The sequence below is a fragment of the Homo sapiens genome, chromosome 9 (assembly GCF_000001405.40).
Source record: "Homo sapiens chromosome 9, GRCh38.p14 Primary Assembly".
Lineage (NCBI taxonomy): Eukaryota > Metazoa > Chordata > Mammalia > Primates > Hominidae > Homo > Homo sapiens.
The window spans coordinates 85,264,849-85,289,474 of record NC_000009.12 but is presented as its reverse complement, the minus strand read 5'-3'; the positions used below and the strand labels follow the sequence as shown (position 1 = coordinate 85,289,474).

At 40.9% G+C, this 24,626-nt stretch overlaps 1 long non-coding RNA gene across 1 annotated transcript; it reads left to right on the top strand.

Annotated features, from left to right (window-relative positions):
* Window positions 1-19,776, top strand: LOC105376119 (uncharacterized). The gene is made up of 4 exons (XR_930051.3): window positions 1-78; window positions 2,476-2,564; window positions 5,203-6,213; window positions 19,408-19,776. It is a non-coding gene; the product is annotated as an uncharacterized LOC105376119 (long non-coding RNA).
* Window positions 19,777-24,626: the final 4,850 nt, after the last annotated feature.

Genomic DNA, 24,626 nt, shown 5'->3' with positions numbered 1-24,626 from the left:
GCCGGCTGCAAGTAGAACTCTGCCAGTGGCGCGGCATGCGCCAGCACTCCTCAGCCCTTGGGAGGTCGTTGGGACCAGGTGCCATGGAGCAGGGGTGGTGCTTGTCACGGAGGCTAAGGCCATGCAGGAGCCCACGGGTGGGTGGAGGAGAGGCTCAGGCATGGCGGGCTGCAGGTCCCGAGCCCTGCCCCGTGGGGAGGCAGCTAAGGCCCAGGAAGAAATCGAGTGCAGTGCTGGCGGGCCGGCACTGCTGGGGGACCTGGCGCACCCTCCGCAGCTGCTGGCCCGGGTGCTAAGCCCCTCACTGCCCCGGGCTGGTGGGGCTGGCCAGCCGCTCCGAGTGTGGGGCGCCAAGCCCATGCCCACCCGGAACTCTAGCTGGCCGGCAAGCGCCCTGCGCAGCCCCAGTTCCCGCTCGTGCCTCTCCCTGCACACCTCCCCGCAGGCTGAGGGAGCCGGCTCTGGCCTCGGCCAGCCCAGAGAAGGGCTCCCACGGTGCAGCAGCGGGCTGAAGGGCTCCTCAAGCTTGGCGAGAGTGGGCGCCTAGGCTGAGGAGGCACCGAGAGCAAGCGAGGGCTGCAAGGGCTGCCAGCATGCTGTCACCTCTCAATATGTACACATAGCAAATCTTAGACATAAACAAAATTGCATATAATGAAAATTAGGTCCTCCTCACATCTCTTTTCTGTCAGAATCAAATTCCTTTCTCCAAACGAAACAAATGTCACTTTTTGCTTTTTTTCTTGTATATCATTCCAGACTCTCTGTCTCTCACTACACACACACACACACACACACACACGTGCACACACACACACACATAATATGGATGCATAGACTTTATTGTCTCATCATTGTATTTCTGCCATATAACATCATTGCTCTGGATGTCATTAATAAAAGTGCTGGTTCTGTTGGCTTCACCATGCCTTTCACATAGGGAAGGGCCGCTATGGGTATGAAGTCCTGTACCGTCCTTGGCCACAATTTTTTGAACCTGTTCCATAGGTCCTTGCTTCCTTTCGTCCTTGGTGCTTGTCAGTCATTCTGAGATCTTCCTTAACCATCATGCTAGAGATTCTGTGTGTCTGTCTGTGTGCGTGTGCATGGGTGTGTGCAGTGGATCTTTTATTGCCTGGGTCCTCGAATTCCTTTAGCAAGTGGCTTACTCTTAACATTAGGTGAGGTACATCCTTCAATAATGCCCTGAAAAAAAGGTTTATGGGAGGTAAATTTTCTGAGACCTTGAATGTCTGAAAATGTTTTTGTTCCATCTTCTCACGTAATAGACTGCCTGACTGGGTATAGAATTTTAAGATAGAAAATAAATTTCTTCAGCATTTTGAAGATATTCTTCAATTATCTGTGAGCTCCCAGTGTTGCTCTTGAATAAGCTGAACAATTCTGATTACAAATCCTTTGTAAGGGACCTCCTCTTTCTTCTCTGGGACTCTAAAGATCCTGTTGATGTTGATTTTTTATAATTTCCCAATGATGTACCTTATTGTTGATTTATTTTTATACGTCGTGCTGGGCACTAAGGGCACCCTCTTAACTTAAAAAAATTTGTTGTTCAGGTCCTGGTAATTTTCTCGAATTATTTCATTGACTATTTCCTCCCTCTACTTCTTCTATTCTGTCTTTCTAGACTTCCAATCATTTATATTTGCAACTTTAATACTGGTCCTCCAATTTTGTTAATTCATTGCTCTTATTTTGTATCTTTGACTTTTTACTTAAGTTCTGCGAGGTTTTCTCAATTTTACCTTCAAAGTTTTCCAGCGATATTTTTCTCCGCTGCTCTGGTGTTTAATTTCAGAAGCTTTTTAAAAAATGCCTGAATGTTTCTTTTTTATAGCATTCTGTTCTTGCTTCATAGAAGAAATATATTAATTTATCTCATGATGTGTGCATACATCCAAGTTTCTTTCTCTTTCATTCTTTAAAGACTGGGGATTAAAAGACCTGTTAATGTGCTGCCACATGAGGACAGCTATGAAATCCCAGGGTCAGAAACCTAACAGGAACAATCACCCATAGGCCAAGCCAGCCACAGAGTGACCCCAAATCAGCTTATCAGCTTCCTGTCTCCACCATATACTGTTGCCTGCAAGTGGCCAGTGCCGCTATGTCTCTGCCCTCCCTCCCTGTGGAGGGATAAAGCATGAGGCAACACAGTATTATGCATAGAAAAGAAAGCTGAATTGGGGGATTGTGATGGGAGGCTAAAAACTAAGAGGCTTGGAAATGTGATTGGTGACTAAAATTTTAATAACTAGATTAAAAAATTACTAGTCTTGATTAAGTTCACTGAACTAGAATAGAGCAAAATATCTTCTCTAGATGGGGTAGGAGTTCAAAGCCAAGAAAATAGGGGCAATCATGAAAACAATTATCAGCCTCAAGTTTATATATATATGAAGAGTGATCCTCTAGTTACACCTGTTTTTTCATATTATCTGTCTATTTTTACAGGTGCTTGAGTGATAGTCAAATCTCCATATACCAATCATGGAGCAGAGGTGCTATGAGAGATTCCTAACTCCTGAAAAACTGTGACAAAGGTAAGTATCTGACCACCAAATGTTCCTGTTTTCCCCACAAGTGGCAGCTCCGCCAGAGAATGCATATTTCATCTGGGTAGGGTTATGTGATTAATTCCCCTTAAAGACATGTAGGCCGGGCGCGGTGGCTCACGCCTGTAATCCCAGCACTTTGGGAGGCCGAGGCGGGCGGATCACGAGGTCAGGAGATCGAGACCATCCTGGCTAACACGGTGAAACCCCGTCTCTACTAAAAATACAAAAAATTAGCCGGGCGTGGTAGCGGGCGCCTGTAGTCCCAGCTACTCGGGAGGCTGAGGCAGGAGAATGGCGTGAACCCGGGAGGCGGAGCTTGCAGTGAGCCGAGATCGCGCCACTGCACTCCAGCCTGGGCGACAGAGCGAGACTCCGTCTCAAAAAAAAAAAAAAAAAAGACATGTAAACAGCAGCAACACATGCCATTTCTCACCTGAGGTTGTTGGTATGGGGTGCGTGATCCTCTGTGTATTCATTTCCTCCGCCACGGAATCTTAGCGTGGGGAGCCACAGGAAAGAAGCCATCTGGATTTCTGAGTCATTATTTGGAGGAAAACCTCATCTTGAACTGAGACATGAGCAAAAGACAAACTTCTGAAATTGTACTAAGCCATTGAGATGTGAGGTTCTTTTGTGTAATGGTCTGCCCTTATGAACACACACAGACACATTTTGTCGGCTTACTTGAGTAGCTGAAGCTACTAAGAATGCCCTTTGTGTTACTGAGCTTTCTGCTAGTGACAACATTACAAATATTCTTATATTTAGGTGCACATTACATTTTGGGGATGCATTTTACACAGTAACTATGGTAGAGCTATATCCCATTGTTAAAAACAAAAACCCACAATGTATGAAGGTGCAGACTCACATCAACAGATAAAACAGATAACTATCCTCACAGCACAAGAGGATTATTCACTTCACTGAATCATCCATCTTAGCATGAAAAAAAAAAGTATCAGGCTTCCTTAGGAAATATGACTTAACCTAATAAGATGGACATTACTTTCATGCAGAGGCCCCTCAGCTCCTGCTTTTCATAGACCATCCAGTTCACTTGAAATGTGGTGCACCTGGGAAAAGTCATTCCAGGGGCTCAGGCATGGCCCTTCTTGCTCTCTTGCACATTCCTTTTGAGCACTCATTTCATTGGCAGTTAGTACTCCTGAATACACCTCGCATGAGTGTAAACTGGGCAGGAATAGTGAGCTTTCCCAGCCCCCTGGAGCTCAGAACCCCCGTTCACCTCATGCGGACTTTCAGCTCTCCATCCCCACTTTGGATTGTTGTTGGAAGCCCCTGGTGCATGTTACTTCTCGATCTCCTAGACCTTCCAGAACATCACAGAATGTCCTCACTTCAGTTCCCTTCAAGAGTCACCCAGGACACAGCCAGTTAGCATTCCTGTAGGCTTGCCCCACAAACAGGGCATAACCCCTTAGCTTTGGAGATAAGCAAGAAACGTGTCTTAGAACCATCCCACCTCTTCTTTCCACTTGTGGACATGCCTATCTTAGGAAAGGCTGACGACGTAAAAGAGATTTCCAAATTCCCGTGGGTTGGTAGACATTCCAACTTTCCCAAAATTTAGCAACAATCCAAAGCATTTGTGGTAATGTTTGCATCTCATGATATTTCTAGAAATCTACCTATTGTAAAAATGTACAATGGTAATAGTAATAGCTGATATTTTTTGAGCAGTTACAGTGTGCTAAATATTCTTCTAATCTTTACGAGTATTAACTCTTTGCCAACAAATGTTGACTATTTTCATCCACTCTTCTTATTCAGATGTAAATAAGTAGAATGAGATTCTACTTACCTGTCATTGTGATTCTTCTGTCCTGGTGGATGCATCCCATTTTCTGGTTTCTCGGCTCATAGGCCTTGCTCATCTGACCTCTGACTAAACCAGGTTTTGATAATCAGTTGTAGTTGTTTTTATTCCTTGTCTGCAGTCTCTTCCACATTCTCTCCCACAACACTACTCTTCCACATATCTTTTCCTTCAGTTGTAATAAAAGTATATACCACACACAAGATTTGATATTTGCAGAATGATTTTTAGTATCATAGACTTATATGCTTTTGGAAGTAGAAGAAGTGGAACCTCATAAAACTTTTTGCTTTTTGAAGATATGAACACTGACCCAGCGAGATAAGTTACTTCCCTAAGATTGCAAAGTTGGCCTGTATAGCTGGTAGTAGACTTCAGAGAGGCTTCTTCCAAGTCCCCACTTATCACTCCATGCTCCATAAAAGAGAAGAAGGCTTTCATCTTAAAGCTCATTTTAAATCATGAAGTGGGTAAAAGGAAAGTCAGTCTGTGTGTGTATGTCTCTCTCTCCTTTTCTCTCCATTCATTCATCCTTCCATCATCTAAATTGCTTAGGTAAATTTTCTCGAAGTGCACCTGGGCATAAATTTCCTTGGATCATACCAGTCATATTGCCAATTTATATGGAGATATCCAGTGATCATGTGACTACCATGTCTGTTTACTTATAAATGTTATAAATGATGAAAATACAGTAACTACAAGAATTGCACATGCTTTTGTGTATTTTGTTATTCACTCACAGACTTTTCTTCACTTTTTGCATTTATTTACCTTTTGAAGGATTAGAAGTTTTAAGATATGTGAAAATGGTTGAACCATCTACAAGAACTCTAAAAATCCAAAGAAGAAATGTAGATGAGGAAAATCAAGTGGACTATTACACTGAAATAAGACTCACTATTGATGATGATAAAGATAGATAAAAAATGGAATAATGAGAAAAATAACTGGAAACACTAAGGACCGTAAAATGCAATGGATGATCCAGCAGTATACAAGTTTGGGAGCGTGATGTTAGAAATTTGTAAAAACTTGAGAATGGAAGATTTGGGGACAATCTTCAAATATATTAAATAAATTCCCTCAATGTTGTCAAGATGGAAATGTTCCTCTGGGATCACTGTCTGTAACAGCCACTGAATAACAAAATCATTGTGTATACATGTGAAGAAAATAACCTGCAGAGTGCATACTAAAGAACATAGCTTAGCAATGACTTTCACATCACAGGATACAAAGATAAAGTCACCATCTGGAAATGGTTCAAGCTACTTTCAAATATTTGGCCAGAAAAACAAATGCATCAATATTTTATTAATAGCTATTAAGCCTTGCTTAATGCATATGTTATGTAGCATATGGGCAAAGTTATTACTAATTCCCATATAAAGACATGAAAACTCTAATACGTGTTTGGCAGAGCCACTAACCTTCTAGGATCCCACATTCTGGGATCCTGACCCAGCCAGTGGTAGCCTCCGAGTAAGAAGAGCAGGAAGAGGAATAGCTGGACTTGCAGCACAAGTCATACAAAATTTTAAAATTTTTTCCTAGGGTTTTTTCCGCCCTCATTTGGCTTCAGAATCAAGACTGAGTTTGTGCATCCAGTTTTAGATGGAACATTGAAAAACTTGCAGATATATGAGGCAGTGGGGGAAGCAACAAGGATTATGGCTAATCTAGTGACTAAGTCCTAGGAGGGAAGGTTGAAGAAGCTGGATTCAACACTCAATAGAGTGATGGTACTCCTCCAATATGCCAGGGACTGAACCATGCTCTGGGGAGATGGTGGTGAGTAATGCAGTAGAATCCCCTCCTTCACAGAACTGCCTTTTAGTGGTAGAGACAGACAAGTGAATAAATGATTTTAATGTAGTGCATTAATATTTATAAAATAGATTAAGAGCAGAATGCCATGAGAGGGGTGTCTGATTCTGCTTTGTGAGGGGGATGGTGTTGGGGGGGGGCGTTGAAAGGATGAGTGGGAGGGATCCATTTGATGGGAAAAGAGGGCATTATAGGCAGAGGCTGTATATTAAGGTGCATGTGGGAGAGAAAAATGGCTTGGGAACTCAAAGTAGTTGAGAGTTTGATAGATTTTGTGTGAAAGATGAGTGATGGGCCTGGAGAAAGAAGCCAAGAAACACATAACGAAGGGCTACCGGGGATTAAAAATTGAGCTTTCTTTTGAAGGCAGTAAGAAGCTATCTGGTGTTATTTTTTTTTAAAGATGTTGATGTTGGAAATATTTTTGAGGCTAATGTATTACCAGTGGATTGAAGATTAGAAGAGGCAAGACTCGAGGTAGGAGGGTCTCACAGGGCACCAGGAAACATTCAAGGGAGAGGATTGAATGGGCGTGAGAATGCAGAAGATTGGGAAGTTACTAGATGTATTAAAGATGTATTAAGAAAGTTACTAGATGTAGGTTTGACACACTTAAGGTTGGATGGCACATAAATATTTTTGAATATTTGAAAGACTGTCATTTGGAGGTTCTTAGGGGCCAAGGAAGAAGTGGGACCATTGAGGGGAATCAAGTATTATAAGCTGGCAGAGCTTCCAAACAATGAACATGGTTTAACAATGAGATGGGAGGCCATGGGTTCTGGTAATTTCAAGTAGAAGTCGGGACAGGTTCCTGTCATGGGTGCTGTAGAGGATATGCCTGCATGGCATATGGTCCTGGTGACTTTAAATGTCTGCTTAAATCCTGAGATTCTGTTATGGTTGACATGACTCCACGTGGCTTCACCCAAAAACTGTCTCCAGGCCAGCAATAATGTACTGGTATTTACCTGAAACTCTTGGCTTGTCGGATCTGCACTTCTTGTTCTGAAATGGAGGTATTTAAGGAAACAGAGAGGAAATTAAGGCATTAAAATGTGCTTTTCTCTACCCAAATCATATCAAGTTTATGTTCTATGTCTTCCCACCATGGTGACTCTAGCATGCAGTGATGAGGTCAGGCACTGCACCCAAGTTTCTCAGCTACTGATTTAGTGTGCTGTGCTCACAGTGGTTTATTGTCTTCAAATGATAAGATCTAGGTGAAGCAGGTATTAACAGCATATAACACATGAAGTTTCTTAACTCTGGTTTCCTCCAGATGTTGCTGAAACAACATAACATAAGCCAGATGAAATACCAAAGGAAATTCTGTGACACTCAAACCACGGTATAGATATGTCACTTTAGGCAATGAGATTCTCAAGTCTCCAACTCATCAACTCATATTGGGGTTTCTTCCATATTAGAAAAATTGGATCATATTTTTCCACTTTCCCTCGTCCTAATTTATAACAGTTAGCCTCCCCAGTTCAAGCTATTTGAAGGTTTCTATGACATTTATTTTAATTAGGGCATAAATGCACACACATTTTTGATATATCAACAATCTCAATAAAATGGGAATATTCCATGGCAGAAATCTAAACTTAGGGGAATATTACAATCTCTAACAATTTTTAGGAAACAGTCACTATCTTTACTTTATGCATCTTCCTAGGAAGAAGAGTTTGCCTTCCTTGCCAGACACTACATGCTTTTCTTAGTCTCCTTTGCTGCTACCATGCAGGCACAGGGTCAAGTTCACCAATGGAAGGTGCCACAAACTCTGACATGGGAACTAGTAGAGACCAAGAAACACCGTACTTTGGTGGCAATGGCAAGGCAGGAAGACTGAATTTCCAGGGAAGTGGTGGCAGTGAGGTCACGGTTGACACTCCTGTGAGCAGGCTGGTAGTACAAGCTGTGGGAACTAGCTCAAAAACATTAGCAATGGAGACCTCACCGGTTCTTTGACCTGATCCAAGGTGTTGTTCTGTCTGCATAGTTTGTGAGTCTTGTTGTTACCCTCTTTTGGTGATTATGTGAACTACCCAGTATTCTTATAAAATATTCATATTGTGCTTCAAATTAACCGGAGTTTATATCTATTGCTTGCAACTAATAATCCTTATCAAAAGAGGACAATGCAAAGAAATACTGCACTCTTATGACCTGATTCTAGAATGGTAAACATGAAAAGGTTTCATTGATAAACGCGCTCTTTGTTCTCTGTTAAACTCTCTCTAATAAAATAATTGCTCACATAATATATGGGAAACAGGATAAAGAGACCTGAGTATAACTGAGTTGCTTACTGTTTTGTTTCTAAGTGGGCAAAGGATTCTGGAAAAAAAATTGCATGGTATGGAAACTAATTCACACTAATGTATAAATTAACCTATGACTAATTTGCATTTGAAAATAGAAACTTGTATTTTAACCAAATCTTTAATTAAGGCAGACGGAAAGATTCTTAGGACAAGTTAATTGGGCACGTTGTCTCATTCCATTCCAAATATCTTTAGCTACCCAGAAAAGTATTCCACATAGGAACAGACATGAAGAAAGAGATGGTGACGTAGGGAGGGTTCATTTCATTTCCAGAGTTTCCTTCACTAGAGCGTCCTCCCAAGAATAGAGTCCTTTGGTCTACTTTGGACTATGGAATCAGAGTCAGGTAATTAAATATTTAAATATCCTGGAGCAAAACCCTGAGATCTCCCTGGCCATAAGGGAACACTAGGAACTTTGACCTTTGTTATGGTTATTCTGTTGACACCTTGACCACTGAGTGTGAATTGGGGAGCTAAGGAAATCGTGTGACCACCATTCTTTTTCAGATGAAGGTGCTAATTTTTCACTGGTTTATTTGTTTAATTAAAATTGTCAGCATTTACTGAAAAATAATATAACAATCATTGTCATATGTTCCTAGTTAGTCTTCTGATCACAGGTGCATTATCTGTTTCATAGGGGTTTTTGCCTTTACCGGGCTGGCAGAATGGGATTCCTGGAATGAGACAAACACATTTTCAGAGTTTAACGATTCGAGTCAAGGCAGAAACCCTTAAAGTGTTAGTCTCGAGTAGAACAAATTTAATAATTATGTTTCTCTTATAGGAGTCATTAACCAAAATTTGGTCTTTAATTTCTTCTAGTGAAATAACTGAAAAGAAAATTTTGATTTCGTTCATTCATTCCTTCACTTATTCAACAAAATACATGCACTGATGGCTGTCAATATGCCAGATTCTGTGCTAGACCTTAAGGATTCAAAGATAAGATAAAATGCATCTCACATTTCCAGGAGCTCACAGCCTAATTCTGGAAAGATGTTTAGGCTCAAGTATGCTACATGGTAGTTGGTAATTTTTAGCTGCATGCACTAAAATAGCTTTACATTCTTGCTACCACTTTAGAATAGCACTGAAAGGACTTCAGGGTTTGTGTTCTCTGTGGGGGAATTACTCATCTAATTCTCATTAGTGCAAATGGGAAAGAGGTGTAAATCCACAGTGATCTAGCTGAGAAAACAAATACTCCTTATTTGACTTCTGTTGTTTGTTTATATTTGTTCCGGGTTGACTCAGGGAAATAATCAGGAAAATTACCCATGTTCAATTGCCCGGTTGCTCCAGAACCCTTGGAGTGCCTAATCACAGTTAATAATTAAAACAAAGCAAGAAGATTCAAATGTTGGATTTAAGTATTATCAAGAGGGAAAGAAACCATTTGAGGGGGAAAATATGAGGAGTCTTTTGTGGTAGGTAGATTTTATGGACAGAAACATGGGCTCTAAAGAGAGAATGATTTTTTTTTTTTTTTTTGAGACAGATTCTCACTCTGTCACCCAGACTGGAGTGCAGTGGCGCGATCTCGGCTCACTGCAACCTCCGCCTTCCAGGTTCAAGCAATTCTCCTGCCTCAGCCTCCCGAATAGGAAAGAGTGATCTTTTAAAATGGATGTGGATTATGGTAGATGGATAACTTAGTATCTATGAAGCTCCTATAGTGTCCCCAGCTCCGTGTTAGACCATATGTCTAACCTAGCCAAAATTGTGTCCACAGGATACAACTAGCAAATTATATGTGACAGAAACAAAAACTGGAACCTGCAGTTTAAAATGGTATGGAATATTTGAAATAAGAACATTGACAGAAATTTAAGACGTGGTCATAGTTTTAAGTAATATGAGTTAGGATGGGCTGAGTTATGCTGCAGTGACAAATAACCCCCAAATCGTAGTAGTTTATACGAACAAGTCCTTTTCTAGGTCTTCTTGCTCTGGGACCCAGACTGATGGAGCAGTCACTACAGGTTAGGACTCTCTAATCCTAAGTGCTTGGAACCAGAAGTGTTTATGGATTTTGGAATATTTGCATATACATAATGAGATGTCTTGAGGATGGGACTCAAGTCTAAACATGAAATTTATTTTTGTTTCGTGTACACCTTATACACACAGCTTGAAGGTAGTTTTATTTTTCCGTTGGGAACACTGAATAAACTGCCTGTTGTGTGCCTGTGTTTTGACTGAGACCTGTCACATGAGGTCAACTATGACATTTTTCACTTGGGGCTCAAGAAATTTTGGATTTTGGAGCATTTTGGATTTTAGACTTTTCAGTTTAGGAATGCTCAGCCTGTATCTCAAACCTTAGTATAAAACTCTATAAAGTCACGTGCTGACAATCAAATGCTTCCTTTTATGAATCATTGGCAAAAACCAGTCTTGTGGTCCCATTTAACCTCAAAGGAGTTACAAATATCATCCTACTCTATGCCTAGAGAGCAGACAGCTGAAAATATTATGTGAACGCTACTAATGACTCTAACTCAGACCTCGCTAAAGTGGCTGCTCAAATGTGGTCACATTAAATTTAAATTCAACTTGATACCTCTCACCTGTGTGAGATTTTACTGTCAGCCTAGTTGCCCTCAAATTGAGTGTGCATTAGAATCACCTGAAGGGCTTCTTAAACCATAGATCCCTGTGCCCCACCTCCAGAGTTCTGGGTCCAGTAAGTGGGAGGTGGGAGACTCTTAACAAGTTCCCAGGGGATTGCTTATCTGGGAACTGCACTCTGAAAACCACTTGTCTTGGAAAATCCAAAGGAAGTTTCCTGTCTTTGTCCATCTAAGCGTTCACTAAAATCATAGTAAATGCCAGAGCATGACTTGTTCTGGGGAATGGATGGAAGGACTACACACTCCAGCCAGGGGGATGGTTGCTTTCAGAACTCACAGGGTCAGGACCAGCCTCACCTTGTAACTTCAGGGCCTCTTTTCTTCACCTTTTGGTTGCTTCATTATGTCGGAGGCCACCTTCCTTTTACTGGCTGGAAGATTCTTGAAACATGTTTGTAGATTTCATGATAAAGATAGTAAGGCCCAGAAATAATTTGTTCTTCTTCCTTCTAAGGTCAGTTTTCTAAGTCCTCATTTCCTCCCTTGGAATCCTCTTCTTCCTAGATCATTGAAAATTAAATAATATCCATTTCCTTACTTGGACACGCTGACCCAAACCCACAAATGTGTGGTCCTGCAGCACAATTACAGCAGAAAGTACTAATGCCACATCCTTAAAAAAGAAACAAAAAGAAAGGCAGGAATGGGTGGGATGCTATTTCCTTTGCATCTGTCCCTCTGTGCTGCAAAGAAGTGTACTCCTTTCATTTTAAATATTCTCTTGGATCTGGGATATTTGGACTTAAGTAAAACCACATGTGGGTCATTAGCCCTTCACTCCAGGTTGAGTTCTACTAAACCCACCCAAGTTTCTTTTTGTGGTCTTCCCTCCAGATCATCCTCCATGTCCTTCCTGCAGGCTTCTGATTTTCAAGCTTGTGATTTTCTGGTGAGCATCTATTTCAATGGAGCACGCGTCATGCTCAGGACCAAGTGAGGGTCAGGCATGGCACCACCTAAGAGACATCAGATGGCCTGTAGAGATGTAGCTGCTTATAACACACACAATCACACACTACACTCAACTCTGTGGAGCCTCTGCTTGACATGTGCATGGAAACATGGTCCATTTGCTTTTACTTTCAGAAAAAGGAATATCCTGCAATGGAAATACATTCAAAGCTCTACCTCTTGCAGTTAAGAAGCCTGCAGCTTTGACATGGCCATTTCCCCAGCTTCTACCATACTAAAGTTTCAAAATTTTCAGCCTCTTTTAAGCCAGAGCTCATGCTTTCCATTTCTCAATAGTCTTGCCAAGTAAAATAAAATAAAACAAAAACAGCTTTTCTTCTAAACGTAAGTTAGATATACAAGCTCATTCCTGTGGTGTCAGCAGGAAAAGGACCACTTTTATTTTCTATCACATGACCTATTATTTCCCCCGGGATATTTGCGTTTTTAGAGAAAACTTTCTCTAGGAAATTCTTCAAGACAAGTCTTTAAGAGAGCCTCGTGTTTGTTGCTATTCTAATTTTTAAAATTAGACATTCTAATAGTTTGTTGTTGATATATAAAAATGCAATTTTCTTTCATAATTGAACTTACCTCCAGAAACTTTGCTCAATTCTCTAGCTAATTCTAATATATTTCTCTGTAGGCTTTTTTTTTGAGTTTTGTATGTAGACAATTTAATGTAAATAATGACAGTTTTGTTTGTTCCTTTCCAATTAGTATATGTTTATATTTTTCTCTTTTCCTGCTGTGCTGGCTAGGGCCTCCAAGCCAATATTGAAGAGGAAAAAGCAGCTATCTTTGTCTTGTTTCTGACAGAAAACAGAAAGATTTGGTAGATACACTTTATCAGATTAAGGATGTTTCCCTCTCTTCCCATGTTACCGTTTCTTTCATGAGTGAATGTTAATTTTTGAATGCTTTTTTTGGCATCTAGTGAGATCATACTTTAAAAAATGTTAGTGTGGAGCATTACAATAATGATGTGTATGATGTATTGTTTTATAAATTGTGGGATTTAGCTTGTTAATACTTTTGTTTAGAATTTCGTATCTTTGTTCTTAAGTGGGATTGACTTCTATTGCCCTTTCTTACATTATCCATGTTTTGTTTTGATGTAGACTATAACATGTGTCTCTGTTTACACAAGATATACACTGACTACTAACAGTGATTATGACTGATTGGCTAAATTAAAGGTGATTTTGTTTTCTGTACAATTTTCTGCATTTTCTTTTTTCTTTCTTTCTTTTTTTTTTTTTTTGAGACAGAGTCTCGCTCTGTCACCCAGGCTGGAGTGCAGTGGTGCAATCTCGGCTCGCTTCAACCTCCGCCTCCGGGTTCAAGTGATTCTCCTGTCTCAGTCTCCCAAGTAGCTGGGATTACAGACATCTGTCATCATACCCAGCTAATTTTTTTGTATTTTGAGTAGAGATGGGGTTTCACCATGTTAGCCAGGCTGGTTTTGAACTCCTGACCTCATGTGATACACCTGCCTCGGCCTCCCAAAGTGCTAAGATTACAGGCGTGAGCCATCACGCCTCGCCAGTTTTCTGCATTTTCTGTTTTCTCCACAATGAGATAGTATTATACACAATCATAAATCATTCACTCAAGCATAGACATATCATGAATACATGCATATAGCCTAACATAGGGGTCTGACTGTTGATTCCAAGACACAGGATCATTTGCTCTTGTTCTGGATTTTAGGGTGCTCTCTGGTATGAGAGATAAAGAATGGCAAGCAAAATCACTAGGGAAGTCTCAAAATGAACATGGAATACCATGATGTAATACAACAAATACCAGGGGATTTGGGGGTCCAGGTTTGGATATGTAGTAACCAGCTGTGTAAACTTGGGCCGGTTCACCTAACTCCTCTGAGCTTTAATTTTTCTCACTTGCACAATGAGGAAAATAATTCAAACTGGTGCTTACCTCATAGGATTGCTGGCTCTTTTAAAAGTATAGAGAGTGTGAAAGTGCTTTATAACTTAATTTGTCATAACACACACATCATATCTATATGTGTATATATACATCTTATTATACTTCATATATCTACAGTGTGTCTGCATACAGACAGACTGAAAAGAAAATGATTTTAAGGGACTCAAATAGAGATTAATAAAGTCTCTACTTAGCTGATTCCTTTATTCAGGGAGCATCTGAGGATCTGGTGACTCCCCAGTTGAATCAGGGTTGGAGTTTTTGGAGGAGAGGGACAGTTGAGTATCCATCTTTGCAGTTTGGGCTTAGACAGCAGTTTGCCACTTTAACTGAAACTCACAGTTGGGAGTCATCCCTGTTTTGTGCTCCTTGCTCAGTAACCATTAGAACAGTATTTTCCAAGAACTTTTTTTATGCAAGTCTTATAGTTTATTGGCTAGTCAATGTTCACGAGGTGGAAAAGGTAGTTAGTTGGCAGACAGAAAGAAAAGGGGTCAAAGGTAGAAAGCAACAGGAAACGGGGGTCTCTGTAAAATGTTTGGTTTAGTTTTTTTTCCAATAGATATAGATAGATACAGACTGATGGATAGATATAAAAAGTAAAACAAAAACAAAATTAATATAGGCATCAGTATTCACAAGCTTCCTCTTCATATAACCCCCTCTCTTCCCTCCTCCCAGCACGCACACATCTCATTATAGCTCCCAGAGAGTAGTATATGCTTCTGTGTAGCCCTTGAAGAGATGATGTGCAATGGAAAAATGAAGATAATAAAGTATCTTAGTTGATTTGTTTTTATTTTTAAGGGAGAGAGACAAGGAGACAGAGAAAAGCTATGAGAATTAGACTTGGGAGGGTTTTGATGTATAGAAGTAAACAGTGGGAAAGTTTAGGAGAACAGCTATCATTCCTGTGAATAAGATTGAGAAGGCAGAAATTGGGAGAGAAAATTACAAAAATGGTTTTCTGGGCATAAAGGCTTAACAGACTGAGTAAAGATTTGAATTACTTTTTGTCCATTGGAACCAACTATGTTTCTCTTAATATGACACCATCCTGAAGCTGGACCAAAAGGCTCCCCAGTTACATTAAGGTTATTCATAAAAATTTGCCCTGCAAATAGAAGACTTCAACTGTTTTGTTTTATGAACTTACCGATTTTTTTTTTAACCTGGGACGGTAGGCAGATATAGGTTTGTGATACAAGGAGACAAGGAGAGACAAGTCTTACTGAATTATTCCCACAAGTCATTATTATTAATCGAAGCAGAGCTATTTCGTACAAATACAAGACAAGAATTTCCCCCTAAAATTCCATTAGTTCTGCAATAACTCTCCCCTGTGGCCCAAACTTCATAAAAATAATTCTTATTCAGTTTTTTTAAAATCACCACATGCTCCAGGGCTCCCCTTTTACTCAACTTTTTCCCCATTTTCCCCCCTATAGAGGAAAAGACCTCTAACTTTAAAGTGCTGACGGAAGGAGAGAAATACGTGGAAAGAACAGGCTTTGAAAATGTTGAGTAAGACCGGGCGTGGTGGCTCACGTCTGTAATCCCTGCACTTTGGGAGGCTGAGGTGGGTGGATCACCTGAGGTTGGGAGTTCGAGACCAGCCTGACCAGCATGAGGAACCCCGTCTCTACTAAAAATACAAAATTAGTCAGGCATGGTGGCACATGCTTGTGATCCCAGCTACTAGGGAGGCTGAGGCAGGATAATTGGTTGAACCCAGGAGGTGAAGGTTGCGGTTAGCCGAGACCGCACCATTGCACTCCAGCCTTAGCAACAAGACTGAGACTCTGTCTCAAAAAAAAAAAAAAAAAAGGAAAAAGAAAAAAAAAGAAAGAAACGCTGAGTAAATAAAAGATAAGGTGGTGCAGTAGTCACTGTTGATGTCCTGCCCATATAACATTGGCCTGCGCCATTCTAGTGCGTACTCACCTCCTCCTACTGCAGGTACCTCCAACTCTCCACATGAGGGCTTTCTCTTGGCTTTGTATGGGGAGGGTCAGAAGCATTGGTAGTTCATGCCTCTGGAAACAGCTCGAAATCAATGATGGACAGGGATTGGTGGATGAATACCCCAGCTTTCTCATTTCTTGCTGGGGATAATTGCTGGGGATAACTAGAAAGGTTTTGTATTCTTTATCGGAGTCCTCATTGGAGTTGAACCCCAGTTGTCCTAGTAGTAAGTTACTTGATAATACATCCTTTATTGGTTTCCTTCCTTTCCCCTTTTTATTGTCCTATTCCCTTATCAGAGCTTTCTGAGATCACTTTTTTTTTAAAATTGAAAACTACTTGCACTGATATTCTTATCTTACGATCTTCTTCTGGAGGCAGCCATCCTGAGACAGGTGGCTATGGAAGGCATTTGAAAGGGGAGTAAGAACATCAGAAACAAACTTTCCCTACTTCGTTGTGACTTGGTTCAGATCTTCCCCTTCTCCTATATTCTTTTCCTGTGGTAAGGCTTTGCAAGAACAGCATTGTTCTATCTAAGCTAGTTAAAATAAAAAGACAAAATAACTGTATGATGAGCATCTAATGGATGGGATACCACATTTAAAAAGACAAAGACTTAGGGGGAAGTTCATGCTTTGTATGGTACTCTGAGAACAAAAATCTATTTCTGATCGATTTCTTCCTTAACATTCTACCCACCCCCAAAACCCCTCACTTCGTAAATCCGGGCAACTATACCTCAGGTTTCAGACAATATGCCTTTGACCTGGGTTGTCTTCAAGATAACCTTGACAAGAGATGAATTCTTAAAGATTTTCTTTAGTGTTCTGTATTTATATTTAATGTTCTGATAATCTGTCGAAGATTCTTCTAGGGCACTGAAGATAGCAAGTAGTCAGAAAACAAATAGTGAAGGGGCTTCCCATGGCAGTTAATGGTCAATACCTGTTGAGACCCCAGAGAAAATAAAAAATGATTCCTAATGATTGCTGGAGGTTGTGGCACTAATGGAATATATTTATATGCATAATTAAAAATGGTATCCTTTTGAAATTCACTGATTTTTGGATGTGTGATTACATTAGGCTTAAGTTTACCTTCCTTACATCTTCTAAAAAAGTGGGGGAAGTGTGTAACTATATTTCAGGGTGCACAAGCCACTATTAATTCTGCCGCCAGGTGGAATCTGAAAGTGGCACCATAATCATCATTTTCCACCTTGAAATTGAGGATGTCTATATGTGTCCTCTGAGTCCTCCTCTCTCTCCACCAGCCCCATAATCACTACCTTGTATCTTCACTTATGTCTCTATCTCCTGCTTTGGTTAGCGGGCTCCTCTAAGGACATAGCTACATTTTAGCTATCTTTAGATTTCAGGCAACAATGAACACATACTGAGTGCTCAGTAAATGGTTGTTGAGTTGAATTTTTAAGAATTTCATGCATCCATTAAATGGAAGTAATCGACTCACTAATTAAAAATGACCTTCACCTTTTATGAAAGGAATTGATCATAGATCTTGACGTTTCCAAACTTTGGTTATTAGTTTGTGCAGTTGGTTAAAAAAAAATTCTTCAGTTCTTAGTAATTATTCTGTAATGTGGAACTATTTTATATATTGTCCTCCCCCTATTGCTTTTCATGTTTAATGATATTTGTTGTATTTCCAAAGGAAAAAAGGGGTTTGGAAGGCCAAAGGGAATTAAAATATAGAATAAAGTGGTATGGAGAGTTTCAGAAAAGGAAGAAGAAAATTTCAAAGGCAAGATAATGTATTCTTGTGAAAGTCTGCGGGAAGTCAGTCTCATTTAGCCAAAATCAACTCAGCACTTACTATTAGCCAAGAACCATGACAAGTAATCTGAGGGATGTAAAGGTTAATAATAGTTCTCAAGAAGCAACCAAAAACTTTAAAAAGTGATCATATTTGCTTAGCGCAAGGATTGATGGAGGTAAGTGGGGCTGACTTTGAAAAACCTGTATTTTAAAAATTACATATACATATTATATTTGGAAAAATACAGTATACATGTATTGATGTGATATAAAAATGAAATGGGCAAAAAGAAGCTGAAGAAGGGCCCAGAAATGGGAGGTGGGATTGGGCAGGAATTTTACTTATTTATTTATTTATTTATTTTTGAGACGAAGTCTTGCAGTGTTGCCCAGGCTGAAGTGCAGTGGTGCGATCTCGGCTCACTGCAAGGTCCACCTCCCGGATTCATGCCATTCTCCTGCCTCAGCCTCCCGAGTAGCTGGGACTACAGGCGCCCACCACCACGCCTGGCTAATTTTTTGTACTTATAGTAGAGATGGGGTTTCACCAAGTTAGCACCTGAAATCTCAAAACACGGGGGTTTGAGGTCAGGAGATCGAGACCATCCTGGCTAACATGGTGAAACCCCATCTCTACTAAAAATACAAAAAATTAGCCGGGCGTGGTGGTGGGTGCCTGTAGTCCCAGCTACTCGGGAGGCTGAGGTAGGAGAATGGTGTGAATCCGGGAGGTGGAGCTTGCAGTGAGCCGAGATCGTGCCACTGCACTCCAGTCCGGGTGACAAAGCGAGACTCCGTCTTAAAAAAAAAAAAAAAAAATTAGCCGTGGTGGCAGGCGCCTGTAATCCCAGTGACTCGGGAGGCTGAGGCAGGAGAATCACTTGAACCCTGGAGGCGGAGGTTGCAGTAAGCCGAGATGGCGCCACTGCACTCCAGCTTGGGTGACAGAGTGAGACTCGGTCTAAAAAAAAAAAAAAAGAAAGAAAAAGAAAAAGGAAAGGAAAAAGAAACCATTGCGGGTTGAATTAGAATTCTCAGTCAGACGCCTCCTGGCTGTGTGGTCTTAGGCAATCTTCTTTTCTAAGCCTCCATGAAACTGGGACAATAATATCCAATTCACAGGAGACTGGCAGAGGTTGAATGCATGTAGGCAATGCTTAGCACATAGTAGGGTCTTAGTAAATATTAATTCTTACTACTCCCTTACCCATGCCTTGTGTTAATAGGAACAGAGTAGCCTTCCTATCATGCCAGGAAACAGTATGAATAGAAGGAAGGAGAATTAGCTGGAAAGAGAGGAGACCCAGAGGTCTGTTTCTGAAAATCTCACACCAGAGAACAAAGTGAAGACATATCTATGTATAGAACCTGGAAATGTTGGTCTGGGGCACTCCTAGACCCCACTTAGATTTTGTGCATCTTCCCTAACACTTCTGCCCAGGATCATATTTTTCTTAGGCTGCAAATACTTCATATTCTCCTCACCACCCCTTCCTACATCTCTCCTTCTTGGATTTGTTTCTTGTCTATTCCCAGCCACCCCGGATGTGGATGTGTGAGAAGCCAGCCCACTTCATGGATAAGCGTAGGTGTCTGCCTTCCAGAGTCCGGGGCTGCAGGCCGAAACGCCCAAACTGCTGCCAGAAGACATAATCCTGTTTGTGAATGATGGCTTCTGCATCATTTAGCTTTGTTGGGGAGATCCTAGTATAAGATCTGTTGAATAGCTGACGACAAAGGCCTGTGAATTCCCAAATACTTGCCTTTCAACGTGAGGAACCTTCTGCAGTATCTCCAGTGAGACATTGCCCAGGGGAGTCATGCACAAGTGGGCAGTCTCTTATTCTTATCAGAAATGAGGTATATAACCATACATTCATAGATATTGCTCAGGAACCCAGGCAAAAATTATAATCCCCCTTGTCATGTTAGACACTGCAAAAGCTGCGTTAGAGTTCTGGATCTTCCCTTTTGAATCTGTACAACCCCACTCTTAGTATTTGATTTTTCAAGCTTGATTTCCTTATCTGCAGAATGGAGATAATACCTACCTCACAGCACTATTGTGAGTGTTAAATGAAAAAATGTATGGAAGTTTGCCACCAGTAACAAAAGAATGTGGCGACAAGTGACTATTGCAAAGTTAAAGTATGTGCAGTACCTGGAAAGTATGGAAAGTACCTGGCACAAGGTTGGTGCTCTGCAAAACATCTGTAAGATGATGAAATGACATGTGGGTGATACTCTGTAAATACTGTCCCCCAACTTGCATGTTCAGAAAACAGAGAACAGGCAGGAGAGGGAAAGGGGAAAATCCATTTCTGCAATATTCATTGAGGCCCTGGAGACCCACACACAAAAATTTATAGGAATTAAGCAGGTCAGGTATGTGAGACTCAAATTATTTGACACATCTCACATGGAGACGTGGTGTCTATATCCCTTCCACTTGAAACTGGGTGGCTCATAAATGCTTCAGCCAACAGAGTTTAAATTTTGACACTAGATTATAAAAGACCACTCAGTTCTTCCTGGTTTTCTAAGGATGCCCTTAAGGAGGAAGCCAGCCACCATGTAAGAAGTCTGAGATGAAGACCCTCTCAGCTGTCATGCTACAGAGGCCACAAATACATGCTCCAATATATAGCCCCAGCTAATCCCCCAGCCAACATCAGCCATAGCTGTGCTGGTGTGGGCTCCCCAGCCCAGATGAAAGGTCAGATGATCACAGGCCAGCCAATATCTGATTGTAACTACAAAATCATGAGCAAAGTAAGAGAGTTGTTTTAAACTGTTGATTTTTGGAGTGATTTGTTATATAGCAATAGATGCCCCCAGAACAGCCAGGTCCCTGGGACCTTGTGGAATTGGAGAGTGTGCTTTACCTAACGTGGGCAGCCCCTCCTCATACAAGTGTTGCTTTGGAGGTATTCAGGTCTTGGTTGGCCAGATGTACAACTAAAACTTGCCAGTTCCAGAATTTTGTGAAATCTCCAAATTTTTTAGATATCGGTTACTAATTAAAAGCTTTTGGAAACCAGTATGCATCACAGCAAAGCTGCCAATAAGATCTGTGAGCTGCCAATTTGCCACATCTGTTGTCCATAGAAGTGAGGGAGTGCCTGCTTACCCCTACCCTATCCAACCTATCCAATGCTTCCTGCAAACTGGGGCTATCACCCCTAACTGGCCTCCCTTCCTGTATAACGTATTACCATCTGAAAACCAGCATTTAAGCAAGCATTTATACAATTCCACATCCAAGCCAAGCAAACTGCTTCTTGTTTTACTAGTGGCTGGAGCTTTGACCCATTTAAGCCTGACAGCAAAATAGTGATTAGGGGGATGTTGTTCCTGGTGTTTTGATTGGGAGGAAATGAAAGGAGTAGAAGGGGTCAGGGTGGGAGGAGGGGTGATAAAGGGGAACTTCTTGGAGGACAAAAGTTCACCAGTTTTCCCTTGAAGTCAGTTTAAGAACAACAGAATGACATCAACACATATTTCAGTGAATTGAAAAAAAATTTTTTTAAACAGCTCCTCATTATTTTCAGCTTTTGTTGAGAATGTTTTGCTCTGGGGCCTTAACGAATTCACCTTTAAAACTGTAGAGGAAAAAGTTGCATATCATTCTGTGTCATTTTCCTGTGTACTTTCTTCAGGGCATGAATGAGGCAGAAAACAGAGCTGCTGATCCCACCACTGAGGACCAAAGAGCCATTGCAGCCTCTGAGCGTGGGATGCAGAAGGACAAAGTGTTACAGTGGGTAGCTAGTCAGGCATGAGCAGGGCAGGACAGGGCTCCCCCAACCCCACCAGGGATGTCAGGCAGCCATCAGGTGATGGTCAGGCAGTTGTCACACTGTCTCTCTAAAATAATAATTGATCGCAGCCCACGCCAAGGATAGGCAGTCTCCCAGAAGATAGAAACACCTGAAATTGGTGATCAGCAGCTTCCCGATAAGATCTCAGGAGTGGGGCCAATGGGCTCAAGCATGAGCATTAGGGGGCAAAATGGCAGAGTTCTACTGGTATATGGCCTTTCAGGGACATTTGAGTGGTAAGGGAAGAATGCCTCAAGTGAGCACGCGCACAACTCCAGTAAACACACTGTGCATGCTCACCTCCCAAGTGCTAGCAGGACACTGAGCATGCAGACAGGCCACGCTAAGAGAAGACTCAGAGGAGAAGGGATGCAAGACAGTGGAAGTATGCCAACATATAAAACCCTAAGTCAAAGGTCAAACAGGGCACTTGTCTTTCAAGTCATTTGCTTGGGCATCTTCCAAGTACCTGCTCTAAAGCTTTTTAATAAGCTTTCACTCCTGCTCTAGAACTTGCCTCTCACTCTGCCTTATGCCTCCCCAGTCAAATTCTTTTTTCTGAGGAGGCAAGAATTGAGGTTGCTCCAAACCCATACGGATTTGCCACAAGTAGCAAAAGAAGGAGGGGACTGGTGACTGTTGCAAAGTTAAAGTATATGCAGTCATAGAGGGAGAAGGGGACAACTTTGTAAAGAGTGACAGAAGTGTCCTTGACCACAAGCCAGGCATTAGGAGTGTCTGTGAACACAGTCTTTTTGCTACATAAACAGAATGAATAAATATGTGAATATTACTGAGGTATTCCTCAAAAAAGTTTTTTGTAAAGTGTGTTTAAAGATTGTTAATGTTTTCATCTTTTATATTGAAATTATTTTTGAAATGATACAAAGGGAAAATGATGAAATGTCTCTTCCTAACCCAGTACCCTCACACTACCTTATTCCCGCATGTCACCAATATAATCCAGTTCTTGTCCATTTTCTAGAGGTATGTATGCATGTACAAAACAGATGAATTCTTGTTTTCTTACTCAAGTGGAGGCATGCTATACAGAATGCCCTGTGCTTATCCATTTTCATGTGACTATATAACCTAAAGAGTGTTCCACATTTCCATAGCTATTCATGTGTGAGCCCTCATTCTTTCCTAAAGCTATGTAGTATTTTGTTTTATTGGTACATCATAATTTATTTAGTCTCCAATTGATGGACAAGTTTATTGCCTCCATAGTAATTTTCTTTTGAAATAATTTCGAGTACATTCTGTGATATGTGCCTGAGTGAAATTTGATCTGGGCCTTGGGAGTGATTAAACAGCATTTGAAGTAGTCTGATCAACAATCAACACTTTAAGGATGATTACTTAGACTTCAAGTATCCTCATTGAAATCTACATCAGAAGCTTTGTTAATTAGCGTAAGGATGAAATGAGTGGAGGTCAAAATAGGTGGTTGGTTAAGAAGATTATATATACCTCATAGTCTTTGAATGAGCAGAGTAAAGAAATCCCTTGAGCAAGCCATCCATTGCCAATGGTGTAACTCAAAATATAGAGGTGGCTCACTAATTCTGTGTCCTTCATCTCACAGAGCACCTTGTTGCCTAACCTAATCAGTATGCTGGCCAGGACTTCTCTGTGAATATCTTGGCTTCTGTTGTTCGAAGTACCTAGAGCAGAAAATGAACATCACCAGCTATAGAACATATCATATGCCTGCATTTTGACTTGCTTACTAGTAAATGTTTGTATACTTGGCAAAATTTGGTCTGATAGTTGCTTTCACAGCACCTGGAATTTGGTCTGGAGTTGCAACATAGCACTTGAAAGCGAAATTCTAAGGTAGAGGACATGTAAGCCCCCTAATAGCCAGAGACTATCAACAGTTATCAAAAGAAACTAATATTTCCTGAAGAGCCAAATTGCCTTAGGATAATTTGAAACAGGGACATTTAGATTGTTTCTAATCTTATACTATTATAAGTAATGCTGTAATGAATAACCATGTACATAGATCACTGTGCATGTGTGAATAATTTAAATTGATGATATTAATTTGTGAAGCCTTTTGTTGGACACGGAGTCTCAAATTGAGTCATCACATATGCTGTCATATGTATGCCATATAATTTGAAGAAAGAAAAGAGAACGGTTTTATCATTTTAACTAATCCCAATTGTATTATTTGTGCTTACTGTACACAGTCCTCAAACTTGTTTTGCAGCCATTCTAGGTGAAAATTCAGCTGAGAAAAGGCTATGTTGGATGACCTCACTTTATAAGTCCTTTTACTTTTTCAGACCAATTAACTCCTCTGAAAAACAAAACAAAACAAACAAAATACCCTGTCTTAGTCTGCTCTGGCTGCTATAACAAAACACCATAAACTGGCTGGCTTATGAACACAGAAGTTAATTTCTCACAGTTCTGGAGGCTGGGAAGGGGAAAACATTTAAACTATAGTACATCTTGATATACAATATAAGCATAATCTTAAATGTTCAACTGACTGACTGACTGACTATCTGACTGACTGGCTGACTGGCTGACTGACTATCTTACTGACTGACTATATATGACTGACTGGCTGGCTGGCTGACTGACTGGCTGACTGACTGACTCTCTGACTGACTGGCTGACTGGCTGACTGGCTGACTGACTGACTCTCTGACTGACTGACTATCTTACTGACTGGCTGATTGACTCTCTGACTGGCTGACTGACTGACTGACTGACTGTCTTACTGACTGGCTGACTGACTGGCTGACTTTCTTAGTGACTGGCTGACTGACTGACTGATGATCTGACTGACTAGCTGACTGGCTGGCTGACTGACTAACTGACTATTTGAATGATTGACTGACTGGCTGACTATCTGACTGGCTTACTATCTGAGTGACTGACTGACTGGCTGACTGACTGACTAACTGACTATCC